Source organism: Homo sapiens, chromosome 3 (assembly GCF_000001405.40).
Source record: "Homo sapiens chromosome 3, GRCh38.p14 Primary Assembly".
Lineage (NCBI taxonomy): Eukaryota > Metazoa > Chordata > Mammalia > Primates > Hominidae > Homo > Homo sapiens.
The window spans coordinates 68042696-68065933 of NC_000003.12; the positions used below are offsets into that span (position 1 = coordinate 68042696).

A 23238-nucleotide genomic window follows, 5' to 3' on the forward strand; every position below is an offset into this window, starting at 1 on the left:
AACTATAGCTGTGCATAGTCTATGTGTTTATGCACTAATTTTCATGACATATCTTAGAATGGTAGTATTTTTGCTACTGTTTTATAGTTGACAGGCACAGAGGCTGGTGACTCCAGTTCAATTCCTCAAACCTTCAAGCACACATTAATTTTCATTTTAATCACCATTTAAATTGTGCCATTCTTTTGTTTTGTTTTGTTTTGTTTTTTTGAGACGGGGTCTTGCTCTGTCACCCAGGCTGGAGTGCAGTGGCACGGTCTCGGCTCACTGCAACCTCTACCTCACGGGTTCAAGCAATTCTGCCTCAGCCTCCCAAGTAGTTGGGATTACAGGTGCCCGCCACCATGCTCGGCTAATTTTTGTATTTTTAGTAGAGACGGGGTTTCACCATGTTAGCCAGGCTGGTCCTCACGTGATCTGCCTGCCTCGGCCTCCCAAAGTGCTGGGAATACAGGTGTGAGCCACCGTGCCCAGCCTATATTATGCCATTCTGAGTTTGTATGTTAACAGAAAGAGAGTACACTGCTTTATGTAAAAAACTGACAGGTGATTGCCTTTTGCTTCACTCTTTGTTGAGTGATTCTGCTGCTACTTACTTAAAGTAGAAAGTGGTGATACTGGAAGGATAAAAGGGACTGTTAAAATTGTCTTTGCAATAATTTATTATTTTTGTTCTTTATAAGCCACCTAGGTCCCCTGAGCCTCTGAGTTTTTCTATAAGGGATGGAAGAAGACTTGTTTTAAAAAAATAATTGAAAGATTAACTTGCTTAATTAATTTCCTTTAAAAGTAAAGAACTATGCAAATAGAATAAAGAATACTGCTCAGAAGCCACACATGAAAAATAAAGAAGTGAGTCCATTATTCATAGAATTTTCTATGAGTTCTTTTTCTCTGGCATCTAAAAGTGAGGCTGGACTTTTGCCTTTTTTCCCTCTGAATTCTAAAAGAGGCTAAGGCTGCTTGCAGGATTTAAACATTTTTTCTCTCCTAGATTTCTTTCTTCCCAGGTCATTTTACAGGCTCTTGGATGTTGCTTGCCAGAGTCAAAACCTGCCTGTGTTGTTGCTGAGGGCATTTATTTTGAAGTGGGCTATTTCTAGGAATGCATGTAGGAGTCTTCAAGAAAAATTCATTTCTGTTTTTTTTTAACTTATTTTTTATTATACCTTAATTTCTAGGGTACATGTGCACAATGTGCGGGTTTGTTACATATGTATACATGTAAAAAATAAAAAGAAAGAAAAATTCATTTCTGTTTTCTGACCTAGAACCCCCTGCCCATTATCCCAGCCAACCTTTTCCACTCAGACAAAAAGGCTAGGAAAATCACAGTCCTCAATTTTAGGATTCTACTCTTTGAAGACCCAAGTCTGGTACCATGTTTCACAAACATACTGTGTCCTTAGATTTGGATGAGAACCCTTTCTGTTACTTCATTCGTTTGTTCCTTCATTCTTCTTTCCTAATTCAACTTCTCTCCTAGTTCAGACTCTTAAAGGATTATGAACTTCTCCCTTGCAGGACTTACTGCAATTATAGTGTTACATTTATTTTTAATTCTTCTGCTTTTATCTCTGGCATTTTAACTCAATGATGGTAGGGACTTTTGTTCTTTTATGGTTTGTCACTGAAACCCTAGTGTCTTACAAAATGATGATTACATATCTGTTGAGTGAAAACGTGGTAAGCAGCTTGTGTTGTCCATTTTTATGGCTCTTTGTTTTGCTCAGAAAAAAATCTGAACTTTCTGCAGTGACCTAAGAGGCCCTGGATAATCCTGCCTCCAGTCACCTCCCTGACTTCACCTCCTGCTGCTTTCCCTCTTGGCTGTTTCACTCCAGCCTGGGCCTGGGTTCTCCCATGGTTTAAGGAAACAGATATATTCTCTTCATTCAAGACACTGAAAACAATTTCATCTTCTTACATTGATATATTGACATTGATAGTCAAATAGGAGATGAAAGTAGAGAGAGAGAAAGTGTGCTACTAAAGAATGAACATGGAATTTTAGAATTGGGCCAGAATTCAAATTATGGTCCAGCCACTTGCTAGGTGTTAGACCTTGGGCAAGTTTCAAAATTTTTCTGGGTCTCTTCTCCCAGTCTTTAAGATGGGAATGATAATACTGTTGTTGCAGAAATGTTGTGAGGATTGGACATAAAGTGGCAAAATTACTGACATATAGAAGTTAATTGATAGTAATTATTATCACATGTTCATCGTAATTGTATGAATCGGCTATTGCTGTGTGGAAAGATACCCACAGGAACTCAGGGCTTAAATAGTAGCATTTTCTTTTTCTGCAGGCCTCTGTGGGTTGACTGGGGGCACCTCAGCTGATCTCAGCTGGCTCACTTATACAACTAGGAGTGTGCTGATCTTGGCTGGGAGTTTCTGCTCTGAGTCGTGGGGCCAGTTAGCTGAGGTCTGGGTCTGCTCCTTGTGTCTCATTCTCTGGCCTAGGTAGAAGGGCATTAGCTATCCAAATGGAGCTCTTCTCATGGCAATGGCAGAGGAGCAATAGGGGAAAAATAATACAAGAGACCTCTTAAGACCTAGGCTTGAAACTGGCACAATGTACCTATCCCTATAATCCATTGACCAAAAAAAAGTCATATGTGCGAGTCCAATGTTCAGAGGTGGGGCATTACATTTTCTTTTGTTAGATAAACTACAAAGGTATCTGGCAAAAGATAAGAATACAGGAAGAGCTGAAGGACTGGGACCAATAATGTAATCCACCATAGTTAGTATTATAGAAAATTAGATACATAGTCAGGAAATGTGGGCTCTTCTGCCTTTACCACAAATTGTGCGGCCTTGGGAAGCTCCTCCTGTAAGCCTTGGTTTCAACATCTGTAGAATGATGAGATTCTGCTACTAGATATATGGCCAATGGGCTTGGTCTTGAGACTTGAGTCCTAGTATGGAGCGACTGGGAATAGTCACCTTGCATTCTTTAAGGACAAATACGGTTCTGAGCTTGATTGATTATGTCTAGCTTGGGCACTAGGGAAGGGAGTGGTGGCACAGATGATGTGTATGTATTATTCTGTGACTAGATGATTTCTTTAGTCCTTTTCCACTCTTTAATCATTCATTTCGTTATTTTTCAAGTTTTATTCCATTTTGAAAATTAACAAAGGGAACATTCTTAGGCTGAGGACACTTTGTACTTTCGAAAAGACTTTATTCATAACTGACTATGAGCTGTAAATAATCTGAAGTAGCATTCTAGTGATATTGTCATAAATTAATTACTAAAGTTTTGGGAATTAGCTTAGTGACATGTTTTAAATAATTTGCCCCCCTGGAAGTATCTTTCCCCTAATAGGTTTACAGCTCCTCTTAGATTTACAGTAATTCCTTCATTTTTCTCTTATCTCCATTATTTATGTAAGCCATATTCCCACTGAGGATACTTACTTTTGCAACTGCAGTGTTGGATGGAATATAGTGATTCTGGCGGCGGTTTTCAGGATTTGAAACAAATCCATATTTTTATTTAGTTTCTGTACTACATGAAAAATTGGAACACAGGTCTAGATGATTTTTTTTGTATTGCTGCCTATATTGATAAGGTTATATTTAGGTGACTCTGATTGTAGGAGTATAAAATAATTTATCCTTAAAGCAAAGACATAGTTAACCGACTTCTAAATGTATAACTATTTCATTAATTCCAGAAAATACTTAATTTCAACTTTATTAAAAAATTTTTCCATGATGAATACACTCTCTCACAGTTGTGCTGCTAAGTTTGCAATGATACATTTTCAACTTTTTAAACAAATGTTTGGCTGTAAGAATCCTAGAAATAAATCAGCAAAATTGTCCAGTTAGGGTCCAATTGTCTTATTGTTAAGATCAATGTTGGGTAAGTTGATTCTTTGATGATAAATATTGATTGAGTGCTTACTGAGTTCAAGCATCATGATAAGGGTCATTCATGGATTATCTCATTTAATTCACATAACACTTTATATGGTGGGTAGGCCAACTGAACTTATAAGTAGATAGAGATTTGGAGAGGTTAAGTAACTTCTTTGGCTAGACAGTCAGCTATTGATAGAGTTAAGACTTGAACACAGCCTCCAGTCATCCCCAGAGACCTAGCTCTAGATCCTGAATGGTACTGTACATGCTGCTGTACTGTATCTAAGATAAGGTTAAGCCTGATGATATTAGTTTATCCTGGCAAGTATTATAGTATCACATAAGGCATATTGATTTTTTAAAAAACCAAGTATGTACCTCTTGCATCAGAAGTTGTTAGAAATATGCAAGCACTGTGTTTAATATTTGAATACAGCTTTTGCTTCATTCATTATCTTAGTGTGATATCTATGAAAAACTGTTTTAATATTGAAAGTAGTTGAGCTTTATCTGCTCAACTGTTCTCATCCCCATGAGGGTAGGCAAGCTACAGATGCTACACATATTATCTTTATAAAGCACCGACAGTGAGAGCAGTTTTTCTTTCTTTAGACAAGTCTAGGATCTTATGTGGCGACAATAGCACATCTTTCAGCTTAGGAAACTTTTATACAGATTCTAAATATCCTTCTTCAGATGTTGACATAGACCCACATACCTGGCCCCAGATATGAAATAATTCTGGAACAACCTTCCAGTTGAAATAAAGCTCACATAAAATATGAGAAAAATGCATAAATTCAAGAAGGGGCTCACCACAAAGGGATGGCATAGCAGCCAACTGAATTTTCACAGAAGGGAAAGTTTATTTTATATGGGTAGCAGCCACTTTTAATGAAGATGGGAAGCCCTCATCTCTGAAATGAACCAGAATTAATGGGATCTATTCTTTCTTTTGGAAATGCCACATAATTTCACTGGATCCAGCTGTCAAGGAGAAACACCCTTCTCTGTTAACAGCTGAGTGGATTGGTTACACTATTTGGCTATAAGGAATAGAGACTCAAGTTATTGTAAGTAATGAAGGGGAGGGATATATTGGCAATATTTACATCTATGGAACCCAGGAGCACAACAACCTGACCTGAAGAAGACACCTGCCAATATAATCACCCAATAGACACAACAACTTTTGCCATTAAAAGTAATGGCAAAAATCACAATTACTTTTGCACCAACCTAATAGGTATGATAGCTGTAGAGACTTCAGAAATTTTAGAAGCTTCTGACTCCATCACTCTCCTACGAGAGAGGGAGACTCAATCACTGCAAGGGCCTTCCAGATTATGCGAATGGATGAAGTTGGCCACATGCTTGTAAGGGATGATGCTTACAGCTGCAGTAACCATCTTCTGAGCAAGAGGAGGAACCCAAGCTTAATTGTAGAGAAATCAACCCAGAGCCTAGACATCATGGAATCATGAAGGTAACAAACCCCAGAACTGCCTGTTTCCTTTCTTCCTGCTTTATGAAATGTAAGTGCTGTTAGTTGAGTACTCTGTTTCTGACAAGTGGAAACATTCTTATACTCCCTCTGCAAATCATTAATATTAAATAATATAATATCTATGATTATAAGAATGTATTGGGGAAAATAGACATATGTGGGGTTCATGAATATTGAAGACGGGCTTATGGCAGGGCTGTCATGTATAGTTGGAGGGATATTTTCAAATTAGAAAAAATTTGTGGGTAAGTAGTAGGTAAATATATTCATGGGGTACATGAGATATTTTGATATGGGCATACAATGCATAATAATCACATCAGGATAAATGAGGCATCTATCACCACAAACATTTATTCTTTGTGTTACAAATAATCCAATTATACCCTTTAATTATTTTCAAATATATAATATATTATTGTCAACTGTTGTTATTCTGTTGTACTATCAAACACTAGATCTTATTCATTCTCCCTTTCCATATTTTTGTACACATCAACTATCCCTAGTTTCCCCTTCTCCCCCTACTAGCCTTCCCAGCCTCCGGTAATCATCATTCTACTCTCTATCTCCATTAAATCAATTGTTTTAATTTTTTCAGCTCCCACAAATAAATGAGAATATGTGAAGTTTGTCTTTCTTTGCCTGGCTTATTTCATTTAACATAATAACCTCCCATTCCATTGATGTTGCTGCAAATGACAAAATCTCATTCTTTTTAATGGCTGAATAGTACTCTATTGTGCGTATGTACCACATTTTAAAAAATCTATTCATCTGTTGATGTACACTGAGGTTTCTCTCAAATCTTGGCTATTGTGAATAATGGTGCAATTAACATGGATGTGCAGATATCTCTTTGATATACTGGTTTCTTTTCTTTGGGGCATATACCTAGCAGTGGGATTACTGAATCATACGGAAGTTCTATTTTTAGTTTTTTGTGGAACCCCTGAACTGTTCTCCATAGTGATTGCACAAATTTACATTATAGCTGGGCACATTTTTTACTGCACATTTCTAGGGGGATACCAATCATAGCCTACAATGTATAACTATATGCAGTGGCTTTGGCTTAATTACTCATTTTCTCTAAGACTGCTGAAGTTCATAGAAATTTCCTTTTTTACAACTCATAGGCTATTAAAAGGAAATAAACTCTAAATCTTTGCCTACGGTGTCTAGAGTGTCTATTGAAGAAAGGCTTTTCTCCTTGGGGAGCAGCTCTTGCTCAGCCACCAGGTGTCTATGTGACAGGCAGAATGATTTCAGTGCCTCTCATTGTATGAGGATTGTGGGCTGCAGATGAAGAATTATGGTAGCTGTCTATCAATCAAGTGTGTGGGTTTTTTTAATCCCTGAAGAAAAGAGAGTGATTATTTGTTTGTTTTCCAACACTGAAGAGGAGAAGAAATGTCATTTGTGTTGCTTGGCACACATGAATTCTGCATCTCAGTAATGGAACCTGGACAGAATTGTACTACTATCAGGCCTGGGGAAATGGTAGCCCTGATAGGTTACTTGGAGTTGGAGGGAATATTTCCCAATTGAGGCTGGTAGTGGAGCACAAGCAAAGGAGGTGTACAGATGTTAATTTCTACGACTGGAGAGAGGAAAGTTTCCCTCTGTCCCTCTCACTTGTCTGGCAACACAGAAATTGACTGCCATCATAACAGAAGCTCTGTCCTTTTTAGGTGGTGAGGGGAAGGAGCAGGGAGAGAACATTTTCTGCATATTTTTTTTCCACCCTCAAATGGCTTTCATCCCGCTCTGAATAAACTCCCAAAGATGTTGTTCATGATTATGCGTTTATCCTGCTTTGTAGAGAAAGGGGAACAGTAATACTCAGATACTCCCATAAATGGCTGTTCTGTGGGAGTGGTGTGGATAAGAATGTGGACTCTGGAGCTAGATGTCCTGGCTCACATCTCCAATTACTAGTTTTGTGACTTTGTGCAGGTTACATAACCTCTCTGGGCCTTAGTTTTCTTGCCTGTAAAAATGGTGTATCGTAGTTTATTCCCTCAGAAACAGACTCTGAAACAAGAATTCAACTATAAATAGTTCCTTTGGAAGGTGATGCCAGGAAACATAGATTGGGAAGTGAGGAATTACAGTAGGGAAGAAGAAAAAACCATTGAAGGATGTATTAGTAAAGCAGTTACCACTGTGAGGATGTGGGTACTCAAGAGAGTATAGAAGAGCCCCTGAGCAATGTATCACCCTCAGACTCTTTGAAGGCTGCATATGGGCCATTTATGCTATGGCACTTGCCACTTGTCCTGTGTTTGCATCCAATGTGCTCATAAGGCGAGGAAATAGAAGCCCTCAGGGTGTAGAAGTGAATGCTGAGGGGATTTGGCTGGGGATTTGGGCTGGGCACCACCATCGTCTGCTATGGCACGTAATGATACTTCACTGAGTTATTGAGAAGATTAAATGAGTTTGCTGATAGGAATGTGTACAAAAGTACCTGACATATAGTAAGCCCTACCTTTGTGCTGGCTGCCTTTCCTATTGTCCTCAGCAGAGCCTTATGGGTAAGAGCCTCGATCCCAGATAGGGCTGGATTCAAGTTCTGGCTCTGCCACTTACTATTTAAGAGGCCAGATTTTCAGCTTCTAAAGCAAGGGTCAGCCATTGACTAACTTTTCCTGTAAAAGTCCAGAGAATAATTATATGTCATCTTAGCCAGCCCTGCTATCGTGACTGCTCAACTTAGCTTTTTAGTGTGAAAGCAACCAAAGACAATAAGTAAATGAATGGTTGTGGCTGCTTTCCAGTAAAACTTGATTTGCTAAAACAGGTGGTGGGCTGGATTTGACCCACCAGCCACTGTTTGGCCCATAAGCCAAAGTATCTTTTCCTACAGCTGCATAATGTGAGAACAAACAGTGTTTACTTCTCAGCACACATACTAAAAGTACAGTCTATGTCAACCTGCCTGGTATTGTATCTCAGCTTGATGACTTTCTACTTTGGCAACTATATGCACACATTTATTATTGTTAACCATCAGTTTTCTCATCTAAAATAGGGATGATAAATATACCTGGCTCGTAGGGTTGTTGGAGGAGATGGACTGCATAGGCTAATCCATATGCTAGGCTTAGAGTATGTGGATTACAGAAGAAGTGAATAAATGTTTCTATTATATTCATTTCAATTTCTACTATTATTGTGCTTTCTTCCTGGCAGAACTCACTGCAATTCTATTGGAGAAAAGACAACAGAATAGTTCTTAAGATTCTTACTAAGAATCAGATCTGGCAGAGATATTTACTAGTTAAAATTGAATAACCTATTAGAACTGCATGGATTCGGATCAGTGGTTATTAACCAGGGGCAATTTTGCCACCTAGGGGATATTTGACAAAGTCTAGGAGGTTCTTTGGATTGTCCTAACTAGGGAAGAGTGGGCTACTGGCATGTCATGGGTAGAGGTCAGTAAAATCTAAAAATCCTTTAATACAGGACAGTTCTGTACAATAAAGGCTTACCTGGCTCGAAATGACATTAGTTTTCAGGTTAAGAAACTCTCGTTTAGATTGTATATATCACTTCTGAACTTTTACCCTCTAATATATGGCACTGTTTATATCATAGTATTTCACATGATTTGCAAATTATCATCATGATTTCTCTGACTCACAGGCTTTGAAAAGATGTATGGAAATATTTTGTCAAGATAAGTCAATTTAGGTGAGAAGTGTTTTTTTTTAACAACACTATCGTTTAAAAAATACACCAGGTAGCTAGCTGACAAAACTACATAATTAATTTTCTTCTAAAATAATTTTAAATGTTGGAGAGTCTTTTTAAGAATACAAATGACATTCTTTGCATTCTATAATTTCTATGAATATAGGACAATTTGAGAAGATAAAGGACAGACTCCAGAATTCCTCATCTTTGTTGTAATTTAAGGAAGTCTTTTTTTCCATAAATTACTAAGGTGTCTCTGTCAATGAAAAGTGTGCAAAGCTATTATTTACACCTGTTTGACTCTCAATATTATGATTTCATGATTTTTGAAATGGAATATCCCCATTCAAAATGCTTTCTGTACTGAATTTCACCACACTGGAGTGATTGTTAATAGCTCTTTGCTGTCAAGAAACCACCATGACCTCTTCTTTCTCTTATTTTCTAAGTATTGAGATCTTCTCTCAACTTGACAGATGAATTTGCTAGAGAATTTTTATTAAACAATGGCCCTAAACAGGCCATCTCCATCAAACCATCCCTTCTCAATGGCACTCTTTTTTGTTTTGGTACTCAAATTTCACCTAGATATCCCCAGGTTCCTGTGACTACTCTGAGTCCTCCAATGTCCTCACAATGTTTTTAAATCCTCCTCTAACCCACGTGGAACTTTGGACTCATTAAAGAAAGAAATCCTCTGAGAAGATACATCTCATAAATTAGGACACAGAACTCTGATTGGGAGCTCTTGATCAGCGAACAACTTACACTCTTACTTGGCATTTCTGAAAGTTTTATACTGAAGCTAGGTATGTCCCCTGGCTTTACATCCTATTTGGACATCTTCATTCACTTTATTTGTTATTTCATTTGTTCATTTCTTCACTCACCAGCAAATATTTATTGTTTCCATTATGTGCCTGGCACGATATTGAATAAGACAACATCCTCTATCTGACTCACTTATGAATATTGTGTCTAGTGTTAAAGGATAATTTTCAAAAAGGTAAAATCATGACTCCCACAAATACAACATGAACACATGTCAAAGATTTATGTGACTTACTAATTAATAAGGGGAACAGGAAGAGTTTATAATTGGTTCAAATTAGAACTGGATTTACAAAGATTTATAATCTCTACTGGACAATATTCATTTTCACTGCCACAAGCAGGAATAATTTGCCTTGCATTGGACAGGAAATGTTTACTTCACTGACACCATCAGCAATTTAACTTCTTTCTCCTGAAAGACAATCAAAAGTGTGTGGGTACCCAGTGAAATCAGATTACCCCTGGAGTATCTGTTAAACTTCATCCAGCATTCTATAGCAGTCATTTCTGGTCCATTTCAAAGTCTTCACGACTTTTTCTAACACTAGCACAGACAATTTTCAAATATGAACATTGCAGATATGATGAGTCCAATGGCAGAAATAAAGTAGTGTGTTGGGAAACAGAGTAGTTGGTGGGGGTGGGGACTTCTTTAGATGGAGGAGCCAAGGAGAACTCCCCTGATGATTTTTTAATTTTACTCCCCATAGGTTGCCTATTTAAATCTTAACAGATGTGATAAAGACCTTAATCTACATGTGACAAATGTTGGCATTTAAGCCATGAGCATGAACTACCTGTAGAGTCTGATGGTACTTTTTCTAGTAGGAATGGAAACAAAATCAGGTCTACCTACTAGATACTCTCTTTACATTTCTCCTCCAAAACCTTGACATCTGTATTTTAATGTATCTATTTACTTTTATGCATGCTATGGAATCTGCCTCTGCTCTTCATTTTGATAACATTGCATTTCACAGTAATTTGTGGGATGTAGAGACACTCAAACGGCAAATTAAGCTTCCAGCAAAGCAGAGCCACAAAAAAATGAGAAATCGGTTCCTTGGAAAATAATTTTAGATTTTATTTTATTATTTTTTAGAGATAGGGTCTCGCTCTGTCACCTAGGCTGAAGTGTAGTGATGCAATCATAGCTCACTGCAGCCTTGAACTTCCGGGCTCAAGCCATCCTCCTGCCTCAGCCTCCCAAGTAGCTCAGACTATAAGCAAGCACCATCTCACTTGGCTAATTTTTAAATTTTTTTGTAGAGATGAGGTCTTACTATATTGCCCAGGCTGATCTTGAACTTCCAGCCTCAAGTGATCCTCCTACCTTGGCTTCTCAAAGCACTGGGATTACAAGCATGAGCCACCATGACTGACCTACTTTTACATTTTAAAAAGTATCAAAATAGCCATCAGAGAAATCACAAGTTTTCTGGACTCCCCTTCACAGATATGAAGTTTTAATTTTTATGTGCACTAGCAATTGGCAAACTATGTTGCTATAGTTTGGATGCTTGTCCCTTCCAAATTTCACATTGAAATGTGATCCCCAGTGTTGGAAGATGAGGCCTAGTGGGAGGGGCTTGGGTCATGGAGATGGACCTCTTGTGAGTAGATGAATGTCTTCCCTTTGGGAGCCAGGGGTCAGGGGAGTAGGGAGGGTAGTGAGTGAGTTCCCACTCTATTAGTTCCCACCATAGCTGGCTGTTAAAAGGAGCCTGGCACCTCCCCTCCTCTCTCTCCATGTGATCTGTTCACTCCAGCTCCCCTTCACCTTCTGTTGTGAGTGGAAGCAGCCTGAGGCCCTTATTAGATGCCCAATCTTCTAGGCAACATAACTACAAGCCAAATAAACCTTTTTTCTTTATAAATTACCCAGCCTTAGCTATTCCTTTATAGCAATACAAAATAGACTAAGAAGACATGTGGCCTGTGGACCAAATCTGATGTGCTGTTTTTGTGAATAAAGTTTTCTTGAGACACAGGTACACTCATTCATTACATATTGTCCATGGCTGCTTTCACACTACAACAGCAGAGGTGAATAGTCATAGCACATACTGTATGGCCTGCAAGGCCTAAACTGTTTACTATCTGGTGCTTTACAGGCAAAGCTTTGCCAACCTCTGAGTTTAATTGATTGGGGTTAATATTATTCATTCATTTGTTTATTCATCTATTTAACAGACAGTTAACAAGTAGCTACCATTTGCCAGACACTATTTTAAGATCTAAGGTTATAGCACTAGTTACATTATTAGACAAGTTTATGATCCTCAATTTCTTAATCTAGTACTACGTATGTTTGTCTTTTATTTATTTGGGGTAGACTATGCTCTGAAGTTTTTATAATGAGATATGTACCTCTATGCCTTGGTTTAGGGTCTCCCACAAGCAGACCTTCAGGCAGTTGTTTTGGTGGAGGCATCTTATTTGGATGGTAAGAAAACATGAACAGGAGTGGGGAAGTATGAAAGGAAAGGGAAGGCAGTCAAAAAAGAGTTAATTACCAAGCCACCTGCCATAGTGCGTGATAGAAACTTAATCCCCTGAAGAAACTCTGGGAAATCTGTAAAGCACACAACTCAGAAACACCTCACCTAAGGGCTGAGGAGCAGAGGAATTTATAATCCAACTCTTAAGTGTCATCGGTAGATACTCATGTGTGTGTATGTATGCGGGGGGCAAGAGGTGGGATGGTTTGATTCTTTGTTTGCCTTGTATGGTGAATGCCTCCATATCAATAAACTCCATTACCCAGCACTATATTTTGCTCCCTTCCCCTACCCCAAGGGTACAGAACTCTCAAAGTTCACTGCCACACCTGTTTTCCTAGTTTCGGTAGCTACCTATTAACCAGAACTTGAAACACAGTTATTAAATAATTCTTTACTTCTTGAAGCAGAGTAAGTGCTTCCTTACTCAAGCCATATTAGAACGTGGGGACAGATCTTGAGGAAGGCAAGTATCATCTCCCAAGGCTGCCTCCTAGGTGAAGCTTCTGCTTGGTCTCCCAGCAAGGAAAGGATGCTATATTCTAAGAATAAGATGTAGATAACTTCTGAAGTCTCAGAGGGTTAAGGAGAATCTGAGAGTTCAAGAGTCTGGAGTGCATTTACACAGATGTCCCTTTCCCTGGACATATCTCAGGGTTTTCCATCTTCTTTATCTATGCTCTGCCTTAGAATGTTGGCTGGGGCTGTTGCTTCAACACTCTAGACAGTTCTCTCACATCAGGTCCTAGCCCCGATTTTCAGCCTGATCTTTTCTCTGCCTGCAGAAGATGAGAGTCTCTTTAAATGATGCCGGAGAGGCCTCTGGCTTTCCATACTGAACCCTGGGTTGGTGTTCAGCTCACTTGAGCCTGTCATTTTCTTCTTTCAGCTCATTGATGGTACTTGGTCCAACTATCCAATTCCATAATCTTTCCAATGGCCAATGCCACCCTATCTCTCAAGTGCTAGAGAAATTGCATAAGCTAGTGCATCCTCTTCCAGCTGTGCCCCATCCCAATTCAATCTTAGGTAAGAGTCTCAGCAGTTATGATTTCATAGCACACCATTCCACTCGTGACTAGCAATGGTAATTTTGTTGCCATTTTGCTAGTTTCTAGCTGCAAAGACCAATTCTAGAGATCTGTTTCCTAGGACCACTTTGAGTTCCAACCTGAGTTCTCAGGTTTTAGTACTGAAAGTCCCACATCCTGAAAAGCTACAAGTTCTAGGCAAATTTGAAATGCTTTTCCTGGGACTGTCTTGGTTTTAAAATTGCAAGTCCCATGTCCCAGGAACACCCTCTGTCCTTACCAAACCAGATGGGTGGTCACCCAAGTTTCAACTGTGTAATTACTCCAGAATTAGATCCTGAGGTAGATCCAGGTTTATTTTGGAGATGCAAAACGCTTTAATATGATACAGTGAAGATAAGACAGCCAATCAATAAAAGAAACATTATTAAGCCAGATATCCCAGTGAGCAACCAGAGCTTAATCCCATGGGAAACTCCAGGAAATAGGGCAAAACACATGCTTCAGAAATTTCCCAGTAGAGAAGCAAGGGTGTGGGAGATTTACATGCCAATTTCTGAGAGTCATTGGCAAAGGGCTACTCCTAGAGGGTTTTAAATTCCAGGCACTTTCAGCCTGCTGGCCACGAATAGTATGGTTTGATTGTAGTTCCAAGAAAAAAAGCAAATTCTGGCTTAAGTATGCAGACATTGGCAGCAGGAATTTGGTGGGAGACTCTGAGGGGTCTGGATGAGACGAGTAGGGAAAATTAGCATTTGTTACTGCTCACCCCTTGCAATACCCAGATCCATTTGTGACCCCTGTTAAGTTGACATCATCATAGTAAGGGAGTGGCTGACTGGTCACGACTTATTACAGGAGTTTTTATGGGAAAAGCTACAATTCTGCCCATCATCTCTCTTCTCTAACACACGTTTTAGGTTCCTCTGCCCTTGGCCAGCAATTTGATTTCCCCAGTGAGGGCAGAGCATCCTCTCCTGAACCTGAATCAATGTATATTTCACCCTCTTGAATTGGGAGCTAGGAATAGAAACTCATAGTTTGTAGATTTGGCAGTGTGATAATTCAAATGCTGTCTAATGGTCCATAGTTAGAGATATTTCAGTTATCTATGTTATGGGGCCGAATCTCATCACTTGAAACAGAACTCCTGTATTCACCCAAGGCCAGCTCGTTCTCATCAGTGTTGAAAAGAGGTGATCCTGTGTATTTTCTTCATCCCTCTATTGCACATCACATTAATCATTTTACTGCATTAATGAGACAATATCAATTCCAATGCTTCATTTAAATATGGAACTTCATCTCAGGAAATGTGCTAAGGTGGAAGCAATCTGCTTCCTTTCCCTTTTTATACATTAGAAACAATTTTTAATTGTAATTTTATAACTTGGTCATTGCAGTGTGTGATATGCAAAATAAGGGCTCTCCCTAAAGATGTGCGTATCCCAATCCACAGAACCTGTGAATGGGTTACCTTACACAGCAAAAGGGACTTTGCAGGTGTTTTTAAATTAAGGATCTTGGTATGGGAAGATTATCCTGGACTACCTGAGTGGATTCAATGTAATTACAAGAATTCTTGTAAGTGAAAGATACAGCCTCCAGTGAGAGTCAGAGAAGGAAATGTGACGACAGAAGCAGTGGGTGGAGTGGCACAATGGTTGGTTTGAAGACAGAGGAAGTGGTCATGAACCAAGTGATGTGGGTGGCTTCTAGAAGCTAGAGAAGGCAAACAATGGATTCTCCCCTAGAACCTTCAGAAGGAGTGCAGCCCTGCTGACACCTTAATTTAAGACACCTGAAATGCATTTCAGACTTCTGATCTCACTGCAAGGTAATACATTTTTGTATTTTAAACCACTAAGTTCATGGTAGTTTGCTACTGCAGCAATAAGAAACTAATCACAGGTGTAAAGGATGACAATCATCTTTGCAGCTGAAGTGGAAGCAGTGATGTCTCTACTTCTGCTGGAACTATAGTATAGATGCTAATAATCTAGTTAGTGAAATCAAGTTCACAGCTCTATCACTTACTCGCTATGTGGCCTTGAGAAAGTTATGCAACAACTTTAAGGCTTGGTTTCCTCATCTGTAAGATGGGGGAAATAAGGATTTGTATCTTATATTGTTGTTATAAGCATTGAGCAAGATAATTTAGAAAATGCATTTAAGAGAGTTCCCAGTACATAATAACAGCTCAAAAACATTGACTATTATTGCAACATAACAATAATGATCTTTATTTTGTGATGATCTCAGTTTATAAGGTGTTCTCACATATGGGTGTTTAAGCTTGAATCAATTCTGTAAGATCATTTTCCCCTTCTCTCCCTTACCATTTCCCAGATAGACACATAGAGTCCTGGGGAGGATAATGAATGTTCACAAGATCTCTGAGTTATTAATAGACATAGCTGAGATTGACTTCTCAGTTCTTCACTGCTGAGTCAATTTTGAAAATATAATAAGTTTCTAAATTCCAGAGGTAAAGAAAAAAATGTTCTTAAAACGATACACAAAGCCACACACATTTAGTAATGTCTCTCAGAAAACAACTGGCTGCTGCTTGTTGAACAGAGTTGTATACTGATACCTGTTTTCAGACGTGTAAAAGCTATAGTTTTATTATTTTTAAATGAATAGTCCATAGAAAAAGGCTTGTATAACGTTTTCTATGGCTGCTGTATCTTTGGGTTCAGTCCATAACTATTTACAAAGATGAGCTCTGGTGGCAAGGCAAAAAAGGGTTGTAAATTGGGAGGTTTCAGGATCAGAAGCCACCCAGTGATTGCTGAAGATGAGACCAAATTGTGGAGATATTTGCTATTATATATAAAATTCCCACATGATAATGAGTAATAAGTTATTTTTTCTATCACTTTCATGGTATAAATGATATCAAAGCACTTCTTTACTGCCTCTTCAAACTTTCTCCAGGAGCTGAGAAGACATATTGGAGAAAATTTGTGTGAACAGCCTGGAGAAGAAGACCATACAATTGGAGGACTATGACTTATATGTCATTTATAATAATAGTAGCAATAGCAAATGCTCGTTGGGTGCATGGAAAGTGCCAGGCACAGCACTAATCACACACTAATCACACACACGCATGCACACACACACACACACCAGAAATGTTATATATATATGAAACATTTGTTCCTTATAACAACCCTGGAAAGTAGATTCTATTATTTGAATGCGTAGATGAGGAAACTGAGACAGAAAGGCTAAGTAACCTCCTCAAGGTCACAGAGTTAGTAAATGGCAGAGATGGGAATTGAGCTCAGGGAGCCAGGCTGCACAGCCTATATTCTACCTACTAATAAGCTACCCTGGAAGGAACAGTACCCATCTCTGAGAGAGCAGAACACAGGACAGGTGGGTTTTGAGAGCAAGAGGGGGAATGCTGGGTAGAGAGTGCAGATGCAGGTAAGGGACCACAGCAGTATCTTGACCTCTACAGTAAGAAAGGGGCACTCAGTGTGTGTCTGCACAATGACAGAGGGGCCTGGGATATAGGGAGCCAATAATGAATAGTCTTTATCTAGTCCACAGTTTAGCCAAGGGCCAGCCCTAGCTAAATGAATTAAAGAATCAGAGAAAATAAGATCTTTTGTAAAAGTGTGCTTGTTTGATTTACTGACTCATTTGGGAATTATTAACCCAAGTGCCAGGGTGGAATGAGCATAATTGTTTTTACTTAGAAGAGCACCTAAGCCTAAATTGCTGGGTGCAAATAAATCTATTCCTGGGAGGCAGCTGGGGAGCCCCCGCAGGCTTGTTCCTGGCCTCCTCCTCTGGGGGCTAGAGGAGCCAGCTAAGCACACGGCATTCTTTAGGCTGAAGTGAGAATTTACTCCTGAATGCTAAAGGGGCTTGCTCCATGTATAATCAAGGCTTACTGAAGGAAAAAAAAAACACACACACACGCACAAAAAACTGGGAAGGAAAATTTATTTTTGATGCCTCCATATTTTTCTCTGACTTATGTGCCTCATCACCTCAAAAGTCCACCATTGCAACTGTGTGTGTGTGTGTGTGTTTGTGTGTGTGTGTGTGTGTCTTTCAGAATCTCCTTTTTCCCTCTGGGGATGTCAACTTCCTAAATTGCCAGTGCCCTCACAATTTTTCACAATCCCTGTCTTCCTCAGCCTTCTCCTGTGGCACCACCTCCACACAGCAGCTTCAATTACATGGTTTCCATGGGTAGAAACAAGCAAAGGCAGACACTGGCCATAAAACTGACTGATGCAACTTCAAGTTAGCCTGGGGCAGATATTTTTAAAGAACATTGTTTTAGGCCATAACACTTTACCTTGACGGAGTGAAACTAGGCCGGTAGAATTTCAGGCAGAGAAGCGGACAGGTGTGTGGACTATTCTAGACCAGCAAATGAGATGGTGGGTCCTTCTCCAGAAATCCTTGCATCATGTTTTTACAGTAAGCTTCTTGTTTGCTTATGCATAACATTACTCTGGCCCCTGTGAATGTGGAGAAACTGGCCTCCATGTCTCTTGGGTCAGTCTCTGTTGAGCTGTGGGTCTTTGTCATGGATGTCACGTACATATACCTTAGAGAAAAGATAAAAGAGTTGGAGGGGTGGGCTTGAGAAAGGCTGTATAATTTTATTGAGCAATATTTCTTCTTTAAATGGGCTCATGGATAATTCAATTAGCTGGCTTTTGATTGCTCTTGTTAGTGGTTAGGCGCTATATAATGAAAATATGGATTTGTTCAAGTCTCACCATCACAAACCAGCTTGTCAGGATGGATGATTCAACAGATCCACAGTGGGTGTGACATAGGTTCAAGTGTGTACTGACCATATTCCTCTTTAGCGTGTGTGTACTCTCTTTCTTGCTGGCTCTCTCTGGATCTCTTTCTCAGCTTTGTTTGGAGATGGAGCTAACAGTTGTAGAAAATAAATATCTGCCTAAACCGAGTGGACAGCAGCCAATGAGAATACTGTGAAACTTCCCCGTGGAAAGCTCCATGACATGGCATATGCGAGTCTGTCTCTCTCATTGATGCTATATGCAGACGGTATATATCAGCTAGAAGACTTTGAAAAGGAGATTTATTAAGTGTCAGGTTGAGAGTTGTGTTTTCATCTTGATTATGAAAATGATATATAATTTTAAAAACAATTATGGTGCTTGATAAATTTCTCTGTTTGTATAAACTTCCCATTTCAGGAATTCTACATGTAATTCAGTCTGTGTGTCCTGAGAGAAGTCCTGAGAAAGGAGACCGAGTGCATTCAGCATGCTAGAATGATTTCTCCATGAGAACAGGTTAAAAGGCATAGTGGGAATCAGTGCAGGGATACAAGGTCTGAGTAGGAATGGCATATACATCCTCAGAATTAAAGAGGGTACAGGCAGGATGAAAATACACTTGTTTATCACATCACTGAAAGCTGGGAAGGGGGATTTGCTTGAAGCTTGAAAGCAGTGATTTAAGACCAGAATCACAGGTGCATTTTGCATAGGTCATAAGCACTATTGATCATGTGCAGTGTCTTGAAAGGGAAGTAGATTCCAAAAAAGAGCAGATATGTACATGAAGAATAAAACTGTAGTTGACGATTAAAGGTACATTATGAACACTCAAGAAATGTCTCTATTTTTGAGGATGAGGTCATCTTTCTCCACAAAACACCCTTCAGGAAAGGAGGGGGAGGTTGAACCACTGGTGCAGCATGGTTTCTCTCTTTTTGTGTGCCCTGAATATATCACATTTATCCCTCATCAAAGAGAAATTTTTCTTTTTATTGGGAAATGTAGAAGTGATACCTCAAACGATATGGTTTTTGTTTCCAAAGACATGGTAGGGGGTTCAATGCTTCCAAAAAACATATACTAGACATAAGTATGTGGTATTTTATTTTAGATGCTATCAGTTGATCTTTTGCTACTACATTTCTAACAGCCAAAACCTCTTAGTGACTATCACTTATTTTTTTCTTTAATAATCTTATTTTTGTGTAGACTAAGTAGTCTCAAACCAAGCTATTTCTGGGGTTGGGAGGAGGTAGGTAATATAGACTATCAAGGTGAATCAAGGGCACCGCAACAGGGGATGGTGAGGACTGCAGGAAACTGAAGCTCCTATGCTTTTGTTAAGGGAGACTTCTGCTACTCAGTTTCAACCAGTAGTTGCCATATGGGGCTTCAGGCCCAATATTGTGATCCTAGGCAAATCTTTCAAAGAGATGCCACAAACATGGTCAAATAAGCAAAGTTTTTTTGTCATTTAAAATAATGCGCAGGTCCTGAAAGACTAGTTCATGACTTCTGGAGAATAATTTATTCTTGGGAAAGTGAACACCAAACAAATAAACAGCAAGAACAAAGCATGAATGAAACAAAAAGCAGGTTCTTGACCAAACCAATGAAAATAAAATCAACAAGGAATTGTGACTTCCTATACATATGCATGACCCTAGGGTTTTTCCAATGGAAAAGTCTAAACCATAAGCTGAAATTCCTATTCTCTGCTAGCTGCACATCAAGAGTGGAGACAAATATTTCAGTTTGAAGTAGTAGGGGAGGATTCATAGAAGAGGTAATATTTGAATTATGAGTTGAAATTTGGATGTGGCTTGGTTAAGAGATAACCATAACGAAGAAGCAGTCCTCATGGGTTGAATGAAGGGAAGAAATGCTCCATGGTGGGGAAAGTTACCAATTCCTTTTCTGGGGAAATAGTGACACCAAAAGCTCTCAAAAGCAATTAGCTAAAAGCACTAGTTTTTGACAGTCTTCAGTGGCAGTCTTAAGTCTGAACTTTATCGTCTAACAGGTGGTTGCCAACTCAAATGCCCACAGGGGCCAGACAGGTAACCTAAAAAGAAAAATGATTTTGGAGAATGGGACACTGTATCCAGATTAAAAAAACAGGCTCAGCTCCAGTGGATCCTTGCCACGTAGAAATGCAGCACCAGCATTGCCTAAGAGAAGTTCGAAATCTGGGTTTTTATTTGCAAGTTAGAATTTTAAAATGTTGGCAGCAAATTCACATTAAAAAGGAAAAGTGTGAATCAAAGCTTATTTGAAATCCCATATGTAAAATAAACTCAGGGCTGCGGGTGATGAGGGCTGGGATTACCCAGGCCCCAGTCACTGAGCTACATACTTTCCCTTCTTGAGCTAACGGTGGGTCTCATCTTAGAGAACGTTTTAAATACTACTGCTACTGGTAATAAGAAACCATTAAAGATGCAATAAATTTGGCATGCACCATAATTATACATATGTTTTAGAAAAAAGTTTGCGCATGGACAAGAAGTATAAAATGAAAATAGTTTTTGAAAGTAAAAATATTTTTAAAAGGTTACATTTCATAATTATAATGTAAAATTTAAGTTAGGGAAACATTGATTAAAAATATCTTTCTAGAGTCTTGTGACTTTGCCACCAATAGAAATCTCAGGTATTTTTATACTGTTGAAATGCAGATGGCTTGAAAAATCACTTAGGGTTCTTACTACAGGTATTTTGAAATTACAGTCATTATTCAGACCTGCAGACCTGCAGTCAGATTATGTTCTTTAATGCATTAATAAAGAAGCATACATCTTATTATATCACACATTTTTAAAATGTTATTTCATTATAATTAGTTTTCTTTTTAATCCTTTATTTTAAAAGGGATGCATAGGCTTCACTGGACCACTAAAGGAGTCCATGGCACAAGGAAAGTTAGGAAGGCTGTTCGGAACCAGTGTAGCAGTAAATAAAAAGATTACCCACTCTGGCGATGCCAGAATTGCTTTTCTTTCCAAAGATTTCCTACCCCCAGGTAGGACTTTTTACCTTTCCAATGTGAGTTTCCTGTGGCTTACAGGAATTCAGCTGGAATCCTACATTACTCTGCAACAGAATAAAAAACAAAACTTAATAAGTTGACAACTTAAAGAAAAATAAATTCAAATATGTAAAAGCAAAATAGGGGAGAACCGGCAGAATGCTGCTGTGTAGCAAACCCAGGTGGAGAGGTAAAAACGTGATGAGGTGGGAAAGGAAGACGGCCAACGTGGATCACGTGAAAAACCAGCTGGGAGGACATTTTCTCCGAAAAAAGAAATGGGGATAGTTGATGAGGAGTCAGGAGGACTCTCTGGGCTCTTTTAGGAAAAATATCTTCTGAAGCATATTTTTTTTATTACCTGAACAGTGATGAAAGGACAAAGTTTCAGTTTCCTAGGGAAATGCACTGGCTGTGACCAAATTAGTCCAGAATTTGCTATTATTTAAATGCAGTTTCTTGTATTTATTAAAATGAAGTGACTGTCATATTAAAATTGAAAACGAGCAGTTGCACATGCAAATTATTTCTAAAGTTCAACTGCTGCTAAATGAGACGCGGTGCTCTTAAACTTAGAAATGCTTAACATAAATTATGACCTAATTAACATTTGCACGGTAATCCGGACTTCCTACAGCTTTTTCTGCTAATTAACACATGACAAATGAGCATACATTAATATTTTATTGTAACATCACTTGTCCAAGAAAGCTTCTTAACTCCTCAGAAAATATTTTGTGTTTTGTGTAATTTTTTTTGCCATTTTCTGCTTGAGAAGTATCCTATTGTGGTTTATGCCATTGTATAATATTAATGATAAAGTTGTCTTGTGTTGTAAATTTAATAAGATCAGCAAAGATGCAAGCTCTAGGAATCTTTTATCTTCATTTAAACTCTTTTCTTTATTCTTTCTAGGGAATATCAGCATTTTTGAGAAAAAAATAAACTAATTGCCTTGATATGTACATCTTAGCTAATTATCACTTTCCATGGTTGGTTGCCTCCTAGAGCTATGGGTTCATGAGTAAAGGTAGACCCATCAAGAAGAGCAAAATCATGTATAAGGCTATAGATTTTAAGCTTTGTAAGTGGTTTAATTTTGACTGTATATTCAGTTTGTGTCATCTGTTATCTAAATTGTAACAGCCCTCAAATTAGGGAGATCAGAACACTTCTACATCTACAACAGACAGAGAGCGACTAACTATGAATGTCTACTGTAACTTTAATTTTTATTGGGGCACAGCTTCTCAGTTTTGATTTGCTCTCCTGGTATATTGCAGGGGTTTTTGTTTGTTTTAATTTGTTTTACTTGGGATTTTCCAAGGATGACTGCAGAATACATTTTTATCTGATCACATAAATCAGAGTCTGTGATCTTTGAGGTCTGGGAGATTTTCTCAACTAGAAAGAGAGCATCTTGCTGTGACGGGCAATGTATTGGGTGTTTTGCAAGCACATTACAAGGGCACGTAATGAACGACTGATAGGGTCCCAGTGTCTTCCCCTTTATGTTTAAAGAAACCCTTGAGGTTATTGAGCACTTTCCTGATGAATGCTTGAATCCTATTCACAGCCTTCCAAACCTATTTCTATCAATGCCTTTTGACTTAGAACTCACAAGGGAGCCAGTGAAAGTGCTGGAGAGTACAAATTGTGAGTGGAGACATAGATGAATTTGTATATGTGTGTATATATACATAGGTAGATATAGAGACGACATATACATATGTGTGTATACATAGATGTTTGTGTGTATGTGTGTGTGTGTATATATATATATATATATATATATACACACACATTACCTATGCCTCTGTCTATTGATCAATCTATCTATCTCTTTATTTTTATTAGCTAAAAATTGAAAACAACCCAAATGTTCATTGACAGGTAGATAGAGAAATAAATTGTGATATATCCATACAATAGGATGCTCAGCAATAAAAACTAATGAACTATT

At 38.6% G+C, this 23238-nt stretch overlaps 1 protein-coding gene across 7 annotated transcripts in view, besides 2 other annotated features; it reads left to right on the plus strand.

Moving 5' to 3' along the window:
• Positions 1-23238, plus strand: part of TAFA1 (TAFA chemokine like family member 1) — a 554078-nt gene that overhangs the window by 51152 nt on the left and 479688 nt on the right. The window lies entirely within an intron of this gene.
• Positions 21560-22476: an enhancer, noted in NCBI's record as "POU3F2 HCT in FAM19A1 intron, chr3:68196095-68197011 amplified region (NCBI36/hg18 genome assembly coordinates)". NCBI's record gives its function as "activates a mouse minimal Fos promoter in transgenic zebrafish G0 embryos {active_cell/tissue: forebrain | midbrain | hindbrain}" and the evidence as "EXISTENCE:transgenic organism evidence [ECO:0001131][PMID:20363979]".
• Positions 21857-21934: a conserved region, noted in NCBI's record as "conserved region; HCT with multiple POU3F2 binding motifs". NCBI's record gives the evidence for it as "EXISTENCE:sequence alignment evidence [ECO:0000200][PMID:20363979]".